This window comes from Homo sapiens, chromosome 7, assembly GCF_000001405.40.
Source record: "Homo sapiens chromosome 7, GRCh38.p14 Primary Assembly".
NCBI classification, from domain to species: domain Eukaryota; kingdom Metazoa; phylum Chordata; class Mammalia; order Primates; family Hominidae; genus Homo; species Homo sapiens.
The window spans coordinates 72,902,525-72,920,964 of record NC_000007.14 but is presented as its reverse complement, the minus strand read 5'-3'; the positions used below and the strand labels follow the sequence as shown (position 1 = coordinate 72,920,964).

The 18,440-nt window shown below is 45.0% G+C and overlaps 1 protein-coding gene across 20 annotated transcripts in view; it reads right to left on the bottom strand.

Moving 5' to 3' along the window:
- The window catches only part of POM121 (POM121 transmembrane nucleoporin), a 72,103-nt gene that overhangs the window by 30,495 nt on the left and 23,168 nt on the right, over positions 1-18,440 (bottom strand). For 3 of the 20 annotated variants that reach the window (NM_001257190.3, NM_001387697.1, NM_001387696.1), the window contains one exon: positions 7,137-7,200. The exons of the other annotated variants lie outside the window; for them this stretch is intronic. The gene's annotated coding sequence lies outside the window, so the exon portion shown is untranslated. The remainder of the gene's footprint in view (positions 1-7,136; positions 7,201-18,440) is intronic. 20 annotated transcript variants of the gene reach the window in all.

Here is an 18,440-nt window from a genome sequence, read left to right as displayed (position 1 = left end):
AGGTGATCTGCCCACCTCGGCCTCTCAAAGACCTGCTAGGATTACAGGCATGAGCCACTGTGCCCAGCCTCTTTAATTTTTGTAGAGATGGGGGCCACCACAAGTCAGACTGGAAAAACTCACAATTTATAGGGCTCTGTGTGGAGTACTCAAGCACCGCAGGAATGGGAAAGAATCAGTCTTAGATTGAGCACTGCTCTGGACCCACCTAATGAATCATAAAAACAAGACCTGAAAGGATCCAACTTTCCAATGATCTTAAATACATCCCAAAACAAAGCTCAAGAAAATGTATATAGGAATAAAAAATTGGCTGGGCACGGTGGCTCACGCCTGTAATCCCAGCACTTTGGGAGGCCAAGGCGGGCGGATCATGAGGTCAGGAGATCAAGACCATCCTGGCTAACATGGTGAAACCCCGTCTCTACTAAAAATACAAAAAATCAGCTGGGCGTGGTGATGGTGACTGGTGCCTGTAGTCCCAGCTACTCGGGAGGCTGAGGCAGGAGAATGGCGTGAACCCAGGAGGTGGAGCTTGCAGTGAGCCGAGATTGCGCCACTCCACTCCAGCCTGGGTGACAGAGCCAGACTCCAACTAAAAAAAAAAAAAAAAAAAAAAGACCATTACTCAAACAAGGTAAAATTTCCAATGTGTGGCATCCTGACATCGTATTACTAGGCATATAAATAAGCAAGAAAACACAGCCCATAATAAGAACAACCAATCAATCCTTATTTTGATCCAAACTAACCCCAAACTGACACATATTAAAATAAGCAGAGAAAGACATTAACATTAATTTTAACTATATCCCACATGTTTACAAAGCTGAGACATAGAAAAATATTAGAAGAAATAATGGCCAAACATTTTCCAAACATAATGAAAAATATAAACCCACAGACCCAAAGCTCAACATCAAGTACAAGAAATACAAAGAAAACTGTAACAAGTCACATAATCAAATTGCTCAAAACCAATGATATAGATCAAATCCTGAAGGCAGCTGGGAAAACAGTACATGTTATTTACACAGGAACAAAGATAAGAATGATACCAAATTTCTTGTCAGAAATAGTGCAAGTGAGAAGACAGCAGTGCAACTTGATCTTTAAAGTGCTGAAGGCAAAAACTGCAAACCTAGAATTTTATGTGTGATGAAAATATATTTTAGCGAAGTGAAATAAAGATATTTTCAGACACATAAAAGCTGGAAGACACTTTAAGGCTGAGGTGGGCAGATCGCTTGAGCCTCAGAGTTCGAGACCAGCCCGGGCAACATAGTAAGAACCTGTCTCTAAAAAAAATACAAAAATAGCCAAGCATAGTGGCACACGCCTGGAGTCTCAGTTACTTGGGAGGCTGAGCCTGGGAGGTTTGCTTGAGCCTGGAAGGTCAAGGCTCCAGTGAGCCATAATTGTGTCATTGCACTCCAGCCTGGGTGACAGAGCAAGACTCTCAAACAATAAATAAAAAGCTGAAAGAATTCATCACCAACAAACACTATAAGAAATGTTAAGGGATGTCTTTCAGGCAGAAGAAAAATACCAGATGGAAATCTGGATCTACACAAAGGAATGAAAGGAATGACAGGCATTGAAAATGGTAACTACCTGAGTAAATATATATGCCTGTTTTTCCTTTTTAAATCTCTTTAAAATATAATTGAGGAATGATATCAGCAAAAGGGCAGAGTAAGACAGCTCCAAGCTCCCATCACCCAACAGAAACATATTAAAAAAAAAAAAAAAAAAAAAAGGCTGGGCATGGTGGCTTACGCCTGTAATCCCAGCACTTTGGGAGGCTAAGGCGGGTGAATCACCTGAGGTCAGGAGTTCTAGATCAGACTGACCAACATGGTGAAACCCCACCTCTACTAAAAATAAAAAATTAGCCTAGCACTTTGGGAGGCCGAGGCAGGCAGATCACAAGGTCAGGAGATCGAGACCATCCTGGTTAACACGGTGAAACCCTGTCTCTACCAAAAAAATACAAAAAATTAGCCGGGTGTGGTGGCGGGTGCCTGTCATCCCAGCTACTAGGGAGGCTGAGGCAGGAGAATCGCTTGAACCCGGAAGGTGGAGGTTGCAGTGAGCCGAGATCGCGCCACTGCACTCCAGCCTGGAGACAGAGTGACAACTCCATCTCAAAAAAACACGGAAGAAACAAGCAGAAATGCCAGAGACGTGCAGAGAAAAGGTCACATGAGGACACAGCAAGAAGGCAGCTATCTGCAAGCCAACGAGAGAAGACCCTGAAGAAGTCAGCCCTGCTGGTGTGGGCAGTAAGCCATCCAGGTGCCGAGGCAAGAGACCGAGGGCACGAGCTGTTCCAGTATAATAAAATATATAAAACAACAAGAGTTATACTAGATCTTGAGCACAGACATGATTATATATGAATATCATTAATCATTAGTTTGTAGCAATTACTCTTTATTCCAATATTATAATAATCCTCGCTCTACAATCATAACCTAGGAAAAACCAGGCCATACAGAGATAGGAGCTGAGGAGACACAGTGAGAAGTGACCAGAAGACAAGAGTGTGAGCCTTCTGTTATGCCCAGACACGGCCACCAGAAGGGCTCCTTGGTCTAGCAGTGACGCCAGCATCTGGGAAGACGCCTGTTGCCAGGCAGACCGTGGTCTAGCGGTACCGAAAAGTGTCAAGGAAAAACACCGGCTACTTAGCAGACCGGGAAAGGGAGTCTCCCTTTCCCCGGGGGAGTTTAGAGAAGACTCTGCTCCTCCACCTCTTGTGGAGGGCCTGACATCAGTCAGGCTTGCCCGCAGTTATCTGGAGGCCTAATTGTCTCCGTGATGCTGTACTTCAGTGGTCACACTCCTAGTCCACCTTCATGTTCCATCTTGTACACCTGGCTCTGCCTTCTAGATAGCAGTAGTAAATTAGTGAAAGTACTAAAAGTCTCTGATATGCAGAAATAATGGCGTAAGCTATCTTTCTCTTTGTCTCCTCTCTCTCTCTCTCTGACTCGGCTGCCAGGCAGGGAAGGGCCCCCTGTCCAGTGGACATGTGACCCACGTGACCTTACCTATCATTGGAGATGACTCACTCTTTACCCTGCCCCTTTTGCTTTGTATCCAATAAATAACAGCGCAGCCAGACATTCAGGGCCACTACCGGTCTCTGCGCATTGGTGGTAGTGGTCCCCCGGGCCCAGCTGTCTTTTCTTTTATCTCTTTGTCTTGTGTCTTTCTTTCTACACTCTCTCATCGCTGCACACAGGGAGAAGCCCACCGACCCTGTGGGGCTGGTCCCTGCAGCTGGCACCTTGATCTTTGACTTCTGGCCTCTAGAACTGTGAGAAAATAACTTCCAGCTGTTGAAACCACATGGTCTGTGGCATTTCGTGATGGTAGCCCTAGCAAACTAATACAGACTTCCTAAATCCGAGAAGGAAAGCTGGGGAGAATTCCTCTGGGAAAGCAGAAAAGCTGGGGAGAATTCCTCTGGGAAAGCAGAAAAGCTGGGGAGAATTCCTCTGGGAAAGCAGGGCAGTCACAAGCACTCAGGTGTTACACGGGCTTTGTCCAGGGCAGGATGCTCGCTCAGAAAGACCTAAGCTTTCACCTTGGCCTGATTACGAGGGTCAGTGCAGGCCCAGCTAAGTGCTGAAGAAAAGCTGTGGTGCAAAGGCAAACTTCAAAGACTGGGAGAGGTGTTTTCTTCCATTTTTAGCTCCTAGTATTCAAGGAAATCTCTATCAAAATGTGAGCTGAACACAAGCTAAAAGAATCAGAGACTTCAGTGACCACACATGAAAATGATAAATCTTTGCAAAAATAGTTTGGAAGTCACTAAATGTATGTACTACTACAGCCTTCAATGATTAAAAACACACTCACTCACAGACACATAGCAAACAATGAGAAGTATCATCTAAATGCCAGAGTTACTACCTTGCAATATTCAAATGTCCATGTTTCAATGACAGTCACAAATCATGCCAAGACAAAGGAACGTATCCAAAATAACAAAATAAATTGATGGAAATCAGCCCTTAGGAAGCCCAGACGTTGGACTTAGCAGACAAAAACTTTTTAAAAACTCTCATAAATCATGAAGTACCTCTTCAAGGAGAACTACAAACCACTGCTCAAGGAAATAAGAGAGTACACAAACAAATGGAAACACATTCCATGCTCATAGATAGGAAGAATCAATATTGTGAAAATGGCTATACTACCCAAAATAATTTACAGAGTCAATGCTATTTCCAACAAGCTACCACTGACTTTCTTCACAGAACTAGAAAAACTACTTTAAATTTCATATGGAACCAAAAACGAGCCTGTATAGCCAAGACAATACTAAGCAAAAAGAACAAAGCTGTAGGCATCACGCTACCTGACTTCAAACTATACTACAAGGCTACAGTAACCAAAACAGCATGGTACTGGTACCAAAACAGATACATAGACCAATGGAACAGAATAGAGACCTCAGAAATAACACCACACATCTACAACCATCTGATCTTCGACAAACCTGACAAAAACAAGCAATGGGGTAAGGATTCTCTATTTAATGGTGCTGGGAAGACTGGCTAGCCATATACAGAAAGCTGAAACTGGACCCTGTCCTTACACCTTATAAAAAACTAACTCAAGATGGATTAAAGACTTAAATGTAAAATCCAAAACCATAAAAATCCTAGAAGAAAACCTAGGCAATACCATTCAGGACATAGGCATGGGCAAAGACTTCATGACTAAAACACCAAAAGCAATTGCAACAAAAGCCAAAATTGACAAATGGGATCTAACTAAACTAAAGAGCTTCTGTATAGCAAAAGAAACTAGCATCAGAGTGAACAGGCAACCTACAGAACGGGAGAAAATTTTTGCAACCTACCCATCTGACAAAGGTCAGGTCCAGATCTTGTAGATTCTTGTAGATCCAGAAACTACAAGGAACTTAAACAAATTTACAAGGAAAAAACAAACAACCCCATCAAAAAGTGGGCAAAGGGCCAGGCACGGTGGCTCACGCCTGTAATCCCAACACTTTGGGAGGCCAAGGTGGGTGGATCACCTGAGCTCAGGAGTTCAAGACTAAAAATACAAAAATTACTAAATTACTCTACTAAAAACACAAAAATTAGCCTGGCATGGTGGTGGGCGCCTATAATCTCAGCTACTTGGGAGGCTGAGGCAGGAGAATCTCTTGAACCCAGGAGGCGGAGGTTGCAGTGAGCCTGGATCACGCCACTGCACTCCAGCCTGGGCAACACAGTGAGACTCTGTCTCAAAACACAAACAAAAAGCTTGGGCGCAGTGGCTCATACTTGTAATCCCAGTGCTTTGGGAGGCCAAAGCAAGTGGATCACCTGAGGTCAGGAGTTCAAGACCAGCCTGGCCAACATGGGGAAACCCTGTCTCTATTAAAAATACAAAAAATTTAGCCGGGTGTAGTAGTGCACACCTGTAATCCCAGCTACTAGGGAGGATGAGGCAGAAGAATTGCTTGAACCTGGGAGGTGCGAGGCGGAGGAGGAGCCGAGATCGTGCCACTGTACTCCAGCCTAGGTGAGTGAGACTCGTCTCAAAAACAAACAAAAAGCAGTGCATGTTGGCTAGTTTGTTAATCAATATTAGTTAGTTATTAGCTCTGAATAGATGCCAGGTAATATGCTAGGCACTGATGACATACTCATGACGCAGAGCTGGTCCCAATGCTAGAATGATCTTTGTTCCTGAGATCCAGGTTGCTGCTGCCACTAGAGGGCAGCCGAAGCTCATCTGTAATGGCACAGTAATGGTTAACCCCAACAATCTAACATTACCAGGGAAGAACTGTCCTGAAGGGCAAAGTACCAAGCTACCTAAAGTTTGTATTGATTCTCTCAAGATTGTTGCTAACAAAATTGTAAAACTGGTCAAGTTTGTGTTTGGAGCCCCTAAGCCTCTCATTTCTTCACCCTCTTCCCTGCAGAGGTGGAGGGAATAATACAGGTACCACCTGTAAGTAAAAAATGTGGCAGAAAGTCAGTTGCATCTCACCAACAGGTGGGTCAGGGTGGGGAGGGAGAGGAGATTCCTGGAGAGGAACGGATCAAGCTGGGAAGCACAGAACTGCAGGCCAGAGACAACTCTGGAAGCAGAAACAGGTGTGTGCTTCCAGGCACACAGACACCAACTGTGTGACACCCACACGAAAAGGAGAAACACACACCTTCTACTCACAAACTCACTATTGACAGTGCACCTACCACCACCTGCTTTGTGCAACACAGGAAACACCAATAAACACTGGAGACAGTGTCAGGCCAGGCATGGTGGCTCACGCCTGTGCTCCCAGCACTTTGGGAGGCTGAGGTAGGAGGATCGCTTGAGGCCAGAAGTTCAAGACCATCCTCAGCAATACGGCGAGACCCTATCTCTACAGCGAGACCCTATCTCTACAGCGAGACCCTATCTCTACAAAAAGTTAAAAAAAAAAAAAAAAAGACACAGTCTCATTCCTTAATGAGTATAAAGAAGTGAAGTCTGTTTCAGTTACTAATTGCACCAGAAACCAATCCAAAACATAGTGGCAAAAAACAATCATTATCATCCGGGATTCTGTGATTCCAACAGGCCTGGCTTGTCTCTGGTCCACGACATGTGGGGCCTCAGCTGGGAAGACATGGAGTCTTAAGTGTGATCAGTGGGAGGGGGCTGGAATCATTTAGAGGCATCTTCATTCACAAAACCAGGAGCTGATACTGGCTGTCAGCCAGGACTTCAACTGACCTATGTAGAACCTGTCCATGTGGCCCCTCCTTGCAGTCTCCCCATTTGGGCTGGTTTGGGCTTCATCACAGTCCGGCAGCTTACTTCTAAGGGCAAGCATTCCACGACAACACAGCAGAAGGGCATGGCATTTTTACAGTGAAGTTTGGCAATCTCATAGCGTCGCTTCTGTCCTACTTTATTTATTGGTCAGGGCAATCACAAAGATGTGCATAGGCTCAAAGAAAAGAGACATAACCCCGACCACGCGATGGAAGAAGTGACACGGTCATGTTATGAGAGGAGTGTGTGGGATGGGAGATAGGGCTGTGGCCACCTGCAGAAAACAGCATCTGCTACAGGCTGTCATGGAAGCGCAGGATGGGGATTTAGCCTACCTGAGGGGTCAGTCAGCAAAGGCCTCTGGGAGGAAGTGAGATCTTCGGCTGAGGATGTGAAGGGCTAAAAGGAGAATGAGGAAGAGTTTCAGGGAGAGGAATCAATGAAACGAGTCCAGAGACGCTGGTGAGTTGGATGGTTTGCTTCAGTATGATGACAATACAGAGGGGCAAGGAGACTGGTGCAGGAGAAGAGAGAAGGTGCCATGTGCTCTGGGTCGTGTCTTCTATGCCAGACTCCCTTAGAAGAGGAGCAGCCTCCAGTCAGCGGTGTCCCAGGAACACGGAGGCTAGACAGGACAATGGCAGCCAATCCCTGCTCCCAAACTGGTGACAGTGGGGAAAAGCTGCATGGTCTAGATCCACCCTGCTCCCTGGCCCCAGTATAGAAGATCAAATTCAATCTGCCCAATCTTATCCAGATAAAGTAAAGGAAGACTGGAAAAAAGAACTAATCCACGGCTCCATCTGCCCATGACTTTCTCTGCTGATGCCGGAGGCAGCTATGGATAAAGAGACGGCACACGGCATGTCCCGACGCAGTGGAGGTGGGGAGACCCCGCAAGTCCACAGGAAAAGAGTTAAGTTGCTGCCACCTGGGCATCCGCTATTCTCTGCTCTTCTGCCTCATCCTCAATTCAGACCATGATGGAGCTGATTTTCTCCCATTTTATACCTTGGATTGAATGGTCTCGAGCTGCTGGTCTTGTCTCCAGAGTCACATCCAAGAGGTTTATCTTTCAAATAAATGCTGTGTATCAATGTACAGTATATATAATTAATGCATGATATCAGACTAAATAATAGATAAGACAAGAGATGAAATTAGAGTTAAGTAGGGACCTGATGATGAAGAGCCTTGTAAATCAGGGAGAGTCTGCGTCATGTGCTTCTCCAGACACAATTTCGACATGGCTGTAGGCATGTACCACTGATGACGCGGACACTGAATTACCCGCCGTGCTGGTCTGTGGCTCTCAAGTTTTGCTCATTCTGCTTCTGCGGGAAATGCCCTGACTCAACTTGGGAAAACCCACTTAGATCTTGTTTTGAAACGGAGTCTTGCTCTGTTGCCAGGCTGGAGTACAGTGGCGCGATCTCGGCTCACTGCAACCTCTGCCTCCCGGGTTCAAGCGATTCCCCTGCCTCAGCCTCCCAAGTAGCTGGGACCACAGGCATGCACCACCATGCCTGGCTAATTTTGTGTGCGCGTTTTAGTAGATACGGGGTTTCACCATGTTGGCCAGGATGGTCTCGATCTCCTGACTTCATGATCCACCTGCTTCGGCCTCCCAAAGTGCTAGGATTACAGGTGTGAGCCACCACGCCCGGCCAGAAAACCCACTTATCTTTTAAGATTCAGCCCAACTGTCACCACCTCTGGGAACCTGTCCTCAGTCCCAAACATATGGCCACCCTCCCTTTGGGGTCCCCTCTCTCCCGTGTCTCTTTTCATTACATTCCTATCAGTTTACTGCACTGTGCTGCGTGTCTTATTTCTCCCACTCTGGCCTGTGGGCTCTTTGAAGACATGGGCTGTATCTCGCCTATCTTTTGATCCCTCACATAGGATATGGTGCGTGGCGAGCACTCACTAAAGGTGTGCAGAGTACTGCATGAGGAAAAACTTCATCCAGGCCAGGCGCAGTGGCTCATGCCTGTACTCCCAGCACTTTGGGAGGCCAAAGAGGGAGGACTGCTTGAGCCCAAGAGTTCAAGACTAGCCTGGGCAACATAGCAGAGATCTCATCTGTACCAAAACAACAACAACTAGCTGGGCATGGTAGCGTGAACCTGTAGTCCCAGCTACTCAGGAGGCTGAGGCAGGAGGATCCCTTGAACCCAGGAAGTCAACGCTGCAGTGAGGTATGATCGCTCCACTGCACTCCAGCCTGGGTGACAGAGTGCAACCCTGCTCTTAAAAAAATAGAAAGTTCATTTATAAACAGAAGTGAACAGGAATCTGACTCTTGTACTTTGGTGGGAGTTTGGGTTATCTTTTACTTGAGGCTGAGGTTATGTCAAAACTAGGGATATAACAACAAGCACCATGTACCGAGTGCTGCTTCTGTGCCACAGGCTCTCCTACATGCTTGCCACGCATTCGTCTATTTCATCCTCCCAATAGTCCTACTCCATGTCCAGCAAGGAGTGAAAAGGCTGAGGCGAGTCACAGGGAGAAGAGGGCCCCAGTGAACAGACGAAATGAGGAAGAAGATCTGGAGAGGTCGCACGAGCCAGAGCGCAAAGGCACAGTGACTGCGGTGCAGGCTCTTTAGCAAGGTGCTTTGGGCTGGAGATGGGGTTTTACTGCCTGTTGCGAGATGGGACATGAGACACAATCAACATGCAAATGGGTAGGATGTTTCATCACACGGAAGCAAAATGTATTGCCGCTAAAATGAGAAGTAACACCCTGAAGGTTATCAAGACAACAATTTTCAATGCCAAATGTTGTTTCCAGTTCCATAGGAGATGGAATAAGCACACCCATTACATTTCTCTTCTAATTACAACTAAAACCCCTGTTCAAAATACATGAAGCAGCTGGGCACGGTGGCTCATGCCTGTAATCCCAGCACTCTGGGAGGCCGAGGCAGGCAGATCACCTGAGGTCAGGAGTTTGAGACCAGCCTGGCCAAAATGGTGAAACTCCATCTCTACTAATAATACAAACATGAGCTGGGCGTGGTGGCGAGCGCCAGTAATCCCAGCTACTAGGGAGGCTGAGGCAGAACTGCTTCAACCCAGGAGGTGGAGAATGCAGTGAGCTAAGATTGCGCTATTGTACTCCAACCTGGCGGACATAGCCAGACTATCTCAATTAAAAACAAATAAATAAATACATGAAGCAACGATCCAATCAATCAAACCAACAAATTCTGGAAAGGTAGAGAAGAGAAGGGCTGACCCAGTGGTGAGTTCCTGGGGTGGTTTGATGGTTTGTTCTTTGGCCTCCTATATACCCTGTCTTATCTGTTAGAGCAGAGTCTACAACCAGGAAATCCCAGTGCCCCCTTCATCCCCTAACCCCCGCAAAAGGAGCCTCATCTTTCGAGCCAAATGACAGCGAAGAGGGCGGCCCTGCGGGACAGTGCCCTTTTGACTACACACACCCTACTCTAGGAAAACAGCCTGAAAAAAGCTGCACCTTCCCCTGCCCCAGATACTGTAGACACTGTGGAACAAAGACCTGTTGACCCTCCCCACCTTGGGCCAACACAAGCAGAGGTGGCATCTCTCCCCTCTCCACCAAGCACTGGAAAGACTGTGTGGAAGGGCCCTGCTGACCATCCACAACCTGCACAAGACTGAACCACAGTAACAAGGTGGCACCCCATCCTCTCTCAAAGACAGTGAGGAGCTAGAAGCAAGGATTCTCCAACCCATTTCCCGTTCCCCGTCCCACCCACCGCAGAATATTCCTCTCTAATCCTAATATAACGTCGTGTACATTTCTGTTACATTCGGATTAAAGACAAGTTCTGTTTAATAATAACTCCAAGAACAGTTGATATATATTTTTTTCTTTTAGAACAGGAGTGAAAGTATATTAAAAAGCTTTAAAGCAGTAAAGAAAGGAAGGAAGGGAAGGAAAGTACACTTGGAAGAAGGCCAAACCCAGTTTTCATATTTTATTTTCGCATTGAAAATCAGTCAGATTTACTTCAGTCTCAAAAGTGTGTTTATGCAAAATTAAATGAACGCTAGCAGCAAGCTGCACTTTTTTTTTCCTAAATGGGAAATGGGTTAAATATGTGTAGAAGTCCTGGCCATGCCCTCGAAGTGCCCATGTGTGAAAACAACCAGGATCAACACAGCAAAAGCTTTGAGAGCTCAACGGCAATGTGGAATACTCTGAGGTTTCAAACTGGCCTCCAGGGCTGGGTGCAGTGGCTCATGCCTGTAATCCCAACACTGTGGGAGGCCGAGATGGGAGGAACACTTGAGCCCAGGAGTTCAAGATCAGCCTGGGCAACAGAGTGAGACCTTGTCTCTACTAAATATAAAAAATTAGCTGGGCATGGTAGTGTGTACCGCTGGTCCCAGCTACTCAGGAGGTTGAGAAGAAGGAGTGACTGAGTCTGGGAGGTTACAGCTGCAGTGAGCTATGACTGGGCCATTGCACTCCAGCCAGGGCAACAGAGCAAGACACTGTCTCCAAACAACAACAAAAAAACAAATTGGCCTCTGGGTTGCACACAGGTGTGGGAGGCCAGAAGAGCTCTGCAAAAACTTAGAAAACTAAATTGATCTTAGAACCAGAGCCCTGCTGGCCACAGAAAGTGCAACCCGAATCTAAACAGGTTGAGTGCCTGCTAATATAGAATATTTATACAGGAACTACATACAGCCTCATAACATAACACTCAAAGTGTCCAGGATAAAGTTAAAACTTATTCCTCATACTAAGAACCAGAAAAATCTGAACCCAGAAAAATTACTCCTCATACTAAAAACCAGAAAAAATCTGAATGAGGAAAGACAATCAACAGATGGTAACACTAAGATGACAAAGATGTTGGAATTATTGCATAGGGATTTTAGATGAGCTATCTTATAAATGGCCCAAGAAGTAATTATGAACACTCTCGAAACACACTGAAAAATATAAAGTCTCACTGTGTTGCAGGAAGTCAGGGACCCCGAACAGAGGGAACAGCTAAAGCCATGGCAGAAGAACATAAATTGTGAAGATTTCATAGACATTTATTAGTTCCCTAAATTAATACTTTTATAATTTCTTACACCTGTCTTTACTGCAATCTCTGAACATAAATTGTGAAGATTTCATGGACATTTATCACTTCCCCAATCAATATTTTTGTGATTTTCTATGCCTGTCTTTAATCTCTTAATCCCATCATCTTCGTAAACTGAGGATGTATGTCGCCTCAGGACCCTGTGATGATTACGTTAACTGCACAAATTGTTTAAACAATATGAAATCTGGGCACCTTGAAAAAAGAACAGGATAACAGTAATGTTCAGGGAACAAGGGAGATAACCATTAGGTCTGGCTGCCTGAGAGCTGGGTGGAACAGAGCCATATTTCTCTTCTTTCAAAAGCAAATAGGAGAAATAACGCTGAATTCTTTTTCTCAGCAAGGAACAGCCCTGAGAAAGAGAATGCGTTCCTAGGGGGAGGGCTCTAAAATGGCCGCTCTGGGAACGTCTGTCTTTTACGGTTGCAGATAAGGGAGGAAATAAGTTCCCGTTTCCCATAGCACTCCCAGGCATATTAGGACGAGGAAATTCCCGCCTAATAAATTTTGGTCAAACCGGTTGTCTGCTCTCAAACCTGTCTCCTGATGTTATCAATGACAATGCATGCCCAAAACTTCATTAGCAATTTTAATTTTGCCCTGGTCCTGTGATCTCGCCCTGCCTCCATTTGCCTTGTAATATTTTATTACCTTGTGAAGCATGTGATTTCTGTGACCCACACCCTAGTCATAGACTCCCTCCCCTTTTGAAAATTACTAATAAAAACTTGCTGGTTTTGCAGCTTTGGGGGCATCACGGAACCTGCCGACATGTGATGTCTCCCCCGGACACCCAGCTTTAAAAATTTCTCTCTTTGTACTCTTTCCCTTTATTTCTCAGACTGGCTGACACTTAGGGAAAATAGAAAAGGACTCACGTTGAATTATCAGGGGCGGGTTCCCCCGACATCATTGAAGATATGTAGAAGAACTACGTTGTAATTTCAGAACTAGAAATTACAATAACTAAGTAAAAAACTCAATGGGTGAACTCAATAGCAGAATGGAGATACAACAGAGAAAAAAATTGGTGACCTTGATGATAGAGCAGCAGAAATGATCCAATCTGTATCATAACAATCTTGCCATAAGAAAAAAAATTACATAGAAATAATCCCATTTGACCAACAGAGAGAAAACAAACACACACACAAAAAAAGAACAATGGGACAACAGCAAACGCTCTCACATTCATGTCACTGAATTCCCAGAAGGAGAGGAAAGAGTGCAGTGCCCAAAAAACATCTGAAGAGGCTGGGCGCGGTGGCTCACGCCTGTAATATCAGCACTTTGGGAGGCTAAGGCAGGAGGATCACTTGAGGTCAGGAGCTCAAGACCAGCCTGGCCAACATGGTGAAACCCCATCTCTACTAAAAATATAAAAATTAGCCAGGCGTGGCGGTGCATGCCTGCAATCCCAGCTACTCAACAGGCTGAAGCAGGAGAATCACTTGAACCAGGGAGGTGGAGGTTGCAGTGAGCTGAGATCACACCAGTGCACTCCAGCCTGGGCGACAGAGTGAGACTCTGTCTCAAAAAAAAAAAGCAATGAAGAAAAATCCAGAAAGATTTTTTTTCAGAAGAAAAAGTATACAAATTAAATTTTAAAAAAGAAATTTAAAAAAGCAATAAGACGGTAAATATCTGGGTGAATATAATTTCTTGAGTTTAAAAATTATATTTGATGGGCGAAAGCAAAATCATAACATTATCTCACGTGGTTCTCAACATATGTAGAGGTGATATTCAAGACAACAATACCATAAAAAAGGGCAAAGGGGCCTAGAAAGAAGTAGAGTTTCTACATTCCACTTGAACTGGTAAAAGGTTGATACTAGCCAACAATCATAAGTATGTATAATATAATCTCTACAGCCACCTATAAAATCCTATACAAAAATATATACTAAATGGCATACTGAATTGATTTAGCACGGCATATGAAGTTAAATGGCATACTAAGAAATGTCTAAATACCCCATAAAAAGGCAAGAAAAGGCAAACAGGTATAAAAAAACCCAGAGGGAACAACTTAGAAAAGAGATAATAAAAACCCATCTAAAATTAAGTATAAATCTTCTAAACACAGCAATCAAAAAGGTTGTTGGAATCTGTTTTTTTAAAAATGACTCATGGCCAAGTGTGGTAGCTTATGCCTGTAATCCCAGTACATTAGGGGGCCGAGGCGGGGGGAATCACTTGAGCTCAGGAGTTTGAGACCAGCCTGGGCATGATAGTGAGACCCCATCTCTACAAAAAGAAAAAAAAAAAGATTAGCCAGGCATGGGGGCACATACCTATAGTCCCAGCTACTCGGGAGGCTGAGGTGAGAGAACCACTCAAGCCCAGGAGGTCAAGGCTGCAGTAAGCCGTGACTGCACCACTGCACTCCAGCCAACAGAGTAAGACTCTGTCTCAATAAATAAATAAATAAATATCAATAGTCACATAAGATGGCAGAGTAGGAAGCTGTAGTGTAGAGATCAGTCCCTTCACTGAAGCAACCACTGAGCTAGAAAGAGTGATTGGAATCAGCTCTTTTGGAACTCTGAAACATGACCAGAAACTCCTAACAACCAGAGACATACTTAAACAATGAAGGGAGAGGCTGCTGATCTTCACCAGTGAGTGGCATGTGCCAACCAGCCAACACTCCCCAATTCCTGAGCCTGAGTTCCCGAAGCAGCTGGCTGATGCCAGGGCGAGCAGCGGAACTCTGTCCTCCAAAACCGTGGGTTCTGCACCTTGGTGGGTCCGATGGGTCTCTGAGGACCAGCCCGGATGCTTGCCTTGGTTTATTTGGCCCTCTCAGCAACAGTGGCTTCCCCAGGGACATCCTTCAGAAGATTTTATTAAAGAGACAAAATCCTCCTCTGCCTCACCCCATTTAAAGCCCCCTATTTAAGGAAATCGATGTTAGGTGGCTGGCTGACTGCAGAGATAATGACACAGAAATTTCAGTGACCACACAAACACAAGGAAGAAACGCTTTGCAAAAATAGTTTGGAAAAGTAACAAACCGAGAGCTCCAGACCTCAACAAGCAAAACCCAGCAATCCCAGGTGACTGAGAGAATCACATTTTGAGGGTCATTACATTGTAACACTTAAAATGCAACGTTCTCAACAAAAAACTATAAAATATACAAAGAAACAGGATATACGGAAGCTTAGACCATTACAGGAAAAAAACAGCAAAGAAAATCAGCAAACAATACAGTAACTGAACACCATCATCGACCAATGGAACCTAACTGACATTTACAGGAGACTTCACACAGCAATAGCAGGGTACACATTCTTCGCCCATAGAAGATTCAGCAAGATTTACCAGAACCTGGGTCATAAAATAAATCTTTTTTTTGAGATGGAATCTCGCTCTGTCGCCCAGGCTGGAGTGCAGAGGTGCAATCTTGGCTTACTGCAACCTCCGCCTCCTGGGTTCAAGAAATTTTCCTGCCTCAGCTTCCTGAGTAGCTGGGATTACAGGCATGCACCACCATGCCTGGTGAATTTTTTTGTTTTTGAGACGGGGTTTTGCCATGTTGGCCAGGCTGGTCTCAAACTCCTGACCTCAGGTGATCTGCCCACCTCAGCCTCCCAAAGTGATGGGATTACAGGTGTGAGCCACCATGCCCAGCCAAAACAAATCTTAAGAAATGTAAAATAACTGAAATCATACAAAATATGTTCTGTGACCGTAAAAGAATTAAACTAAATCAATTTAAAAAAGAAACCAGAAAATCTCTAAACACATGGAAATTAAATACACTTTTAAATAATTCATGGGTCAAAGAGTAAGTCGCAAGGGAAACTGGAAAACATATTGAATTATTTAAAAGTGAAAATATAACGTGTTGACTGATATCAGCAAAAATGGCAGAGTAGGTATCTCCAAGTCCCCATCCCCCCACAGAAACATTGATAAACCAAGCAAAACTGCCTGAATCAACTTCATGAGAACTGTAGAAAAATAATCAAAGGTTTACAATAACCAAATCATCTGATGTGGCTCTTTGTCCCCACACACATCTCATCCTGAATTGTAATCCCCAGGGGTCAAGGAGGGACCTGGTGGAAGGTGATTGGATCACGGGCGCGGTTCACCCCATGGTGTTCTCGTGATAGCGAGGGAGTTCTCACGAGATCTGATGGTTTTTAAGTGGCAGTTTCCCCTGCACTCTCTCCTCTCTCCTGCCAGCCAGTGAAGAGGGTACTTGCTTCTTGTTAGCTTTCCACCATGATTGTAAGTGTCCTGAGACCTCCCCAGCCAAGTGGAACTGTGAATCAATTAAACCTCCTTTCTTTATAAATTACCCAGGCTCAGGCAATTCTTTCCAGCAGTGTGAAAACTGACTAATACTCCAAATGAACACTGAATCAAGAAAAAAGCAACTTCAAAATGGTAGGAAAACTGGGTTTTTTTACTTGCCCTTGCCCCACAACCTTCCATAGTTCAGTGGGAGCCTTGAAGATGGCAGCCCACATTCCCAGCGTGGTTTCTGGTATTGAAGGCAACAGAGCAGACCTTATTCTCAAAGCATTGTGTTTTCCTGTTCTCAGCTGCCCGAGGGCTGCCAAAAGGACTGATCTGCCTTTGTTTCACCTAACCCAGAACTCACGTAGGGCAGAAAAGTGGCCACACAGAGGGTATTCCTTGAAAACACTGTAAATCAAATGCATACCCCACTGATGCCTAGGCAAAAGATTACAGTTGAGGCAAACTAGAGGCGTGCTAACAGCATGGGAGAAGTTGTGGAGAGTTTCTATGGGAAATTCGGGTACTGAAATTCAGACCTGCCCATGTGTACTATGGAATTTCAGTAGCCATGCACATGCTGAGTGCAGAGCACATTCTCAGAATAGACCTGAGAAAGGATGCTGAGCTTTCATCTGTGGCTCCTCTCCATCCTCCCTGCAGGCAGGGAGTAAAGCCTAGGGCAAAGCTGTACACAGACTGGGCCGGGTGCAGTGGCTCATGCCTGTAATCCTAGCACTTTGGGAAGCCGAGGCGGGCAGATCACTTGAGGCCAGGAGTTCGAGACCAGCCTGGCCAACATGGTGAAACCCCCGTCTCTACTAAAAAATACAAAAATTAGCCAGGTGTGGTGGAAAATTAGCCAGGTGTGGCGGCACAAGCCTGTAATCCCTGCTACTCAGGATGCTCAGGCAGAGAATCACTTGAACCTGGGAGGCAGAGGCTGCAGTGAGCCGAGATCGTGCCACTGCACTCAAGCCTAGGTGACAGGGCAAGACTCTATCTTAAAAAATAAATAAATAAAAAGTTGTACACAGACTGGCTAAGCCCTGAAGGACTGCTCCAGTGCCCCAGCACAGTGGCAATCCACAAAGAGGGAAAGAGCTGGGTTTTTCTTTTTTTTTCTCGTTTTTGGCTCCTGGCATTCAAGGAAATCTCTGTTAAAACACTAGTTGAACACAAGCTAATGGCAGAGAGACTTTCAGAGATTGCACATGTAAAAGAAGACAAACTTTGCAAAAATGGTTTAGAAAGTCACTGAACAAACAGCTACAGCCCACAGCAAAAGCAAACCCAGGGATGGTGGGGAGGATAAAATAATTTCCAGTTACCCCATTATAATACTCAAAATATCTGATTTTCTTTTTTGAGACGGAGTCTTCGCTCTGTCGTCCAGACTGGAGTGCAGTGGTGTGATCTCCACTCATTGCAACCTCTACCTCCCTGGTTCAAGCAGTTCCTCTTCCTTAACCTCCCAAATAGCTGGGATTATAGGCGCATACCACCATGTCCGGCTAAGTTTTGGGATTTTTAGTAGAGATGGGGTTTCACCATGTTGGCCAGACTGGTCTTGAACTCCAGACCTCAGGCAATCTGCCCACCTTGGCCTCCCAAAGTGCTGAGATTACAGGCGTGAGGCACTATGCCTGGCCTCTTTTTTTCTTTTTAATTTTACTTTTTTCTTTTTGGGGGGAAAAGGTATTATAGATGTGAATCACTGTGCCTGACTCCAATTTTCAAAAAAAAATTACAAACCATGCAGTGACATAAGAGAGTACAGCCCATTCACAAAAGAAACAAATTGTCTTTAAGGAAGCACAGACATTGAAAGTACTAGACAAAGACTTTAAATCAGCTGTCTGAAATCTGCTCAAAAAGCTAAAAGAAACGATGAATAAAGAGTTAAAGGATACAAGGAGAACAATGTCTCAACAAAATGCAGAACATCGATACAGAAATAGAAAATATCATAGACAGGTGAGGGGCAGTGGCTCATGCCTGTAATTCCAGCACTTTGGGAGGTTGAGGCAGGCAGATCACCTGAGGCCAGGATTTCAAGACCAGCCTCAGCAACATGGTGAAACCCCCTCTCTACAAAAAATACAAACAATTAGCCAAGTGTGGTAGAATGCGCCTGTAGTCCCAGCTACTTGGGAGGCTGAGGTGGGAGAATTGCCTGAGTGTGAGAAGTCAAGCCTGCAGTGAGCCAAGATTGCACCACTGCACTCCAGCCTGGGTGACAGAGTGAGACCCTGTCTCAAAAAAAAGAAAAGAATGTATT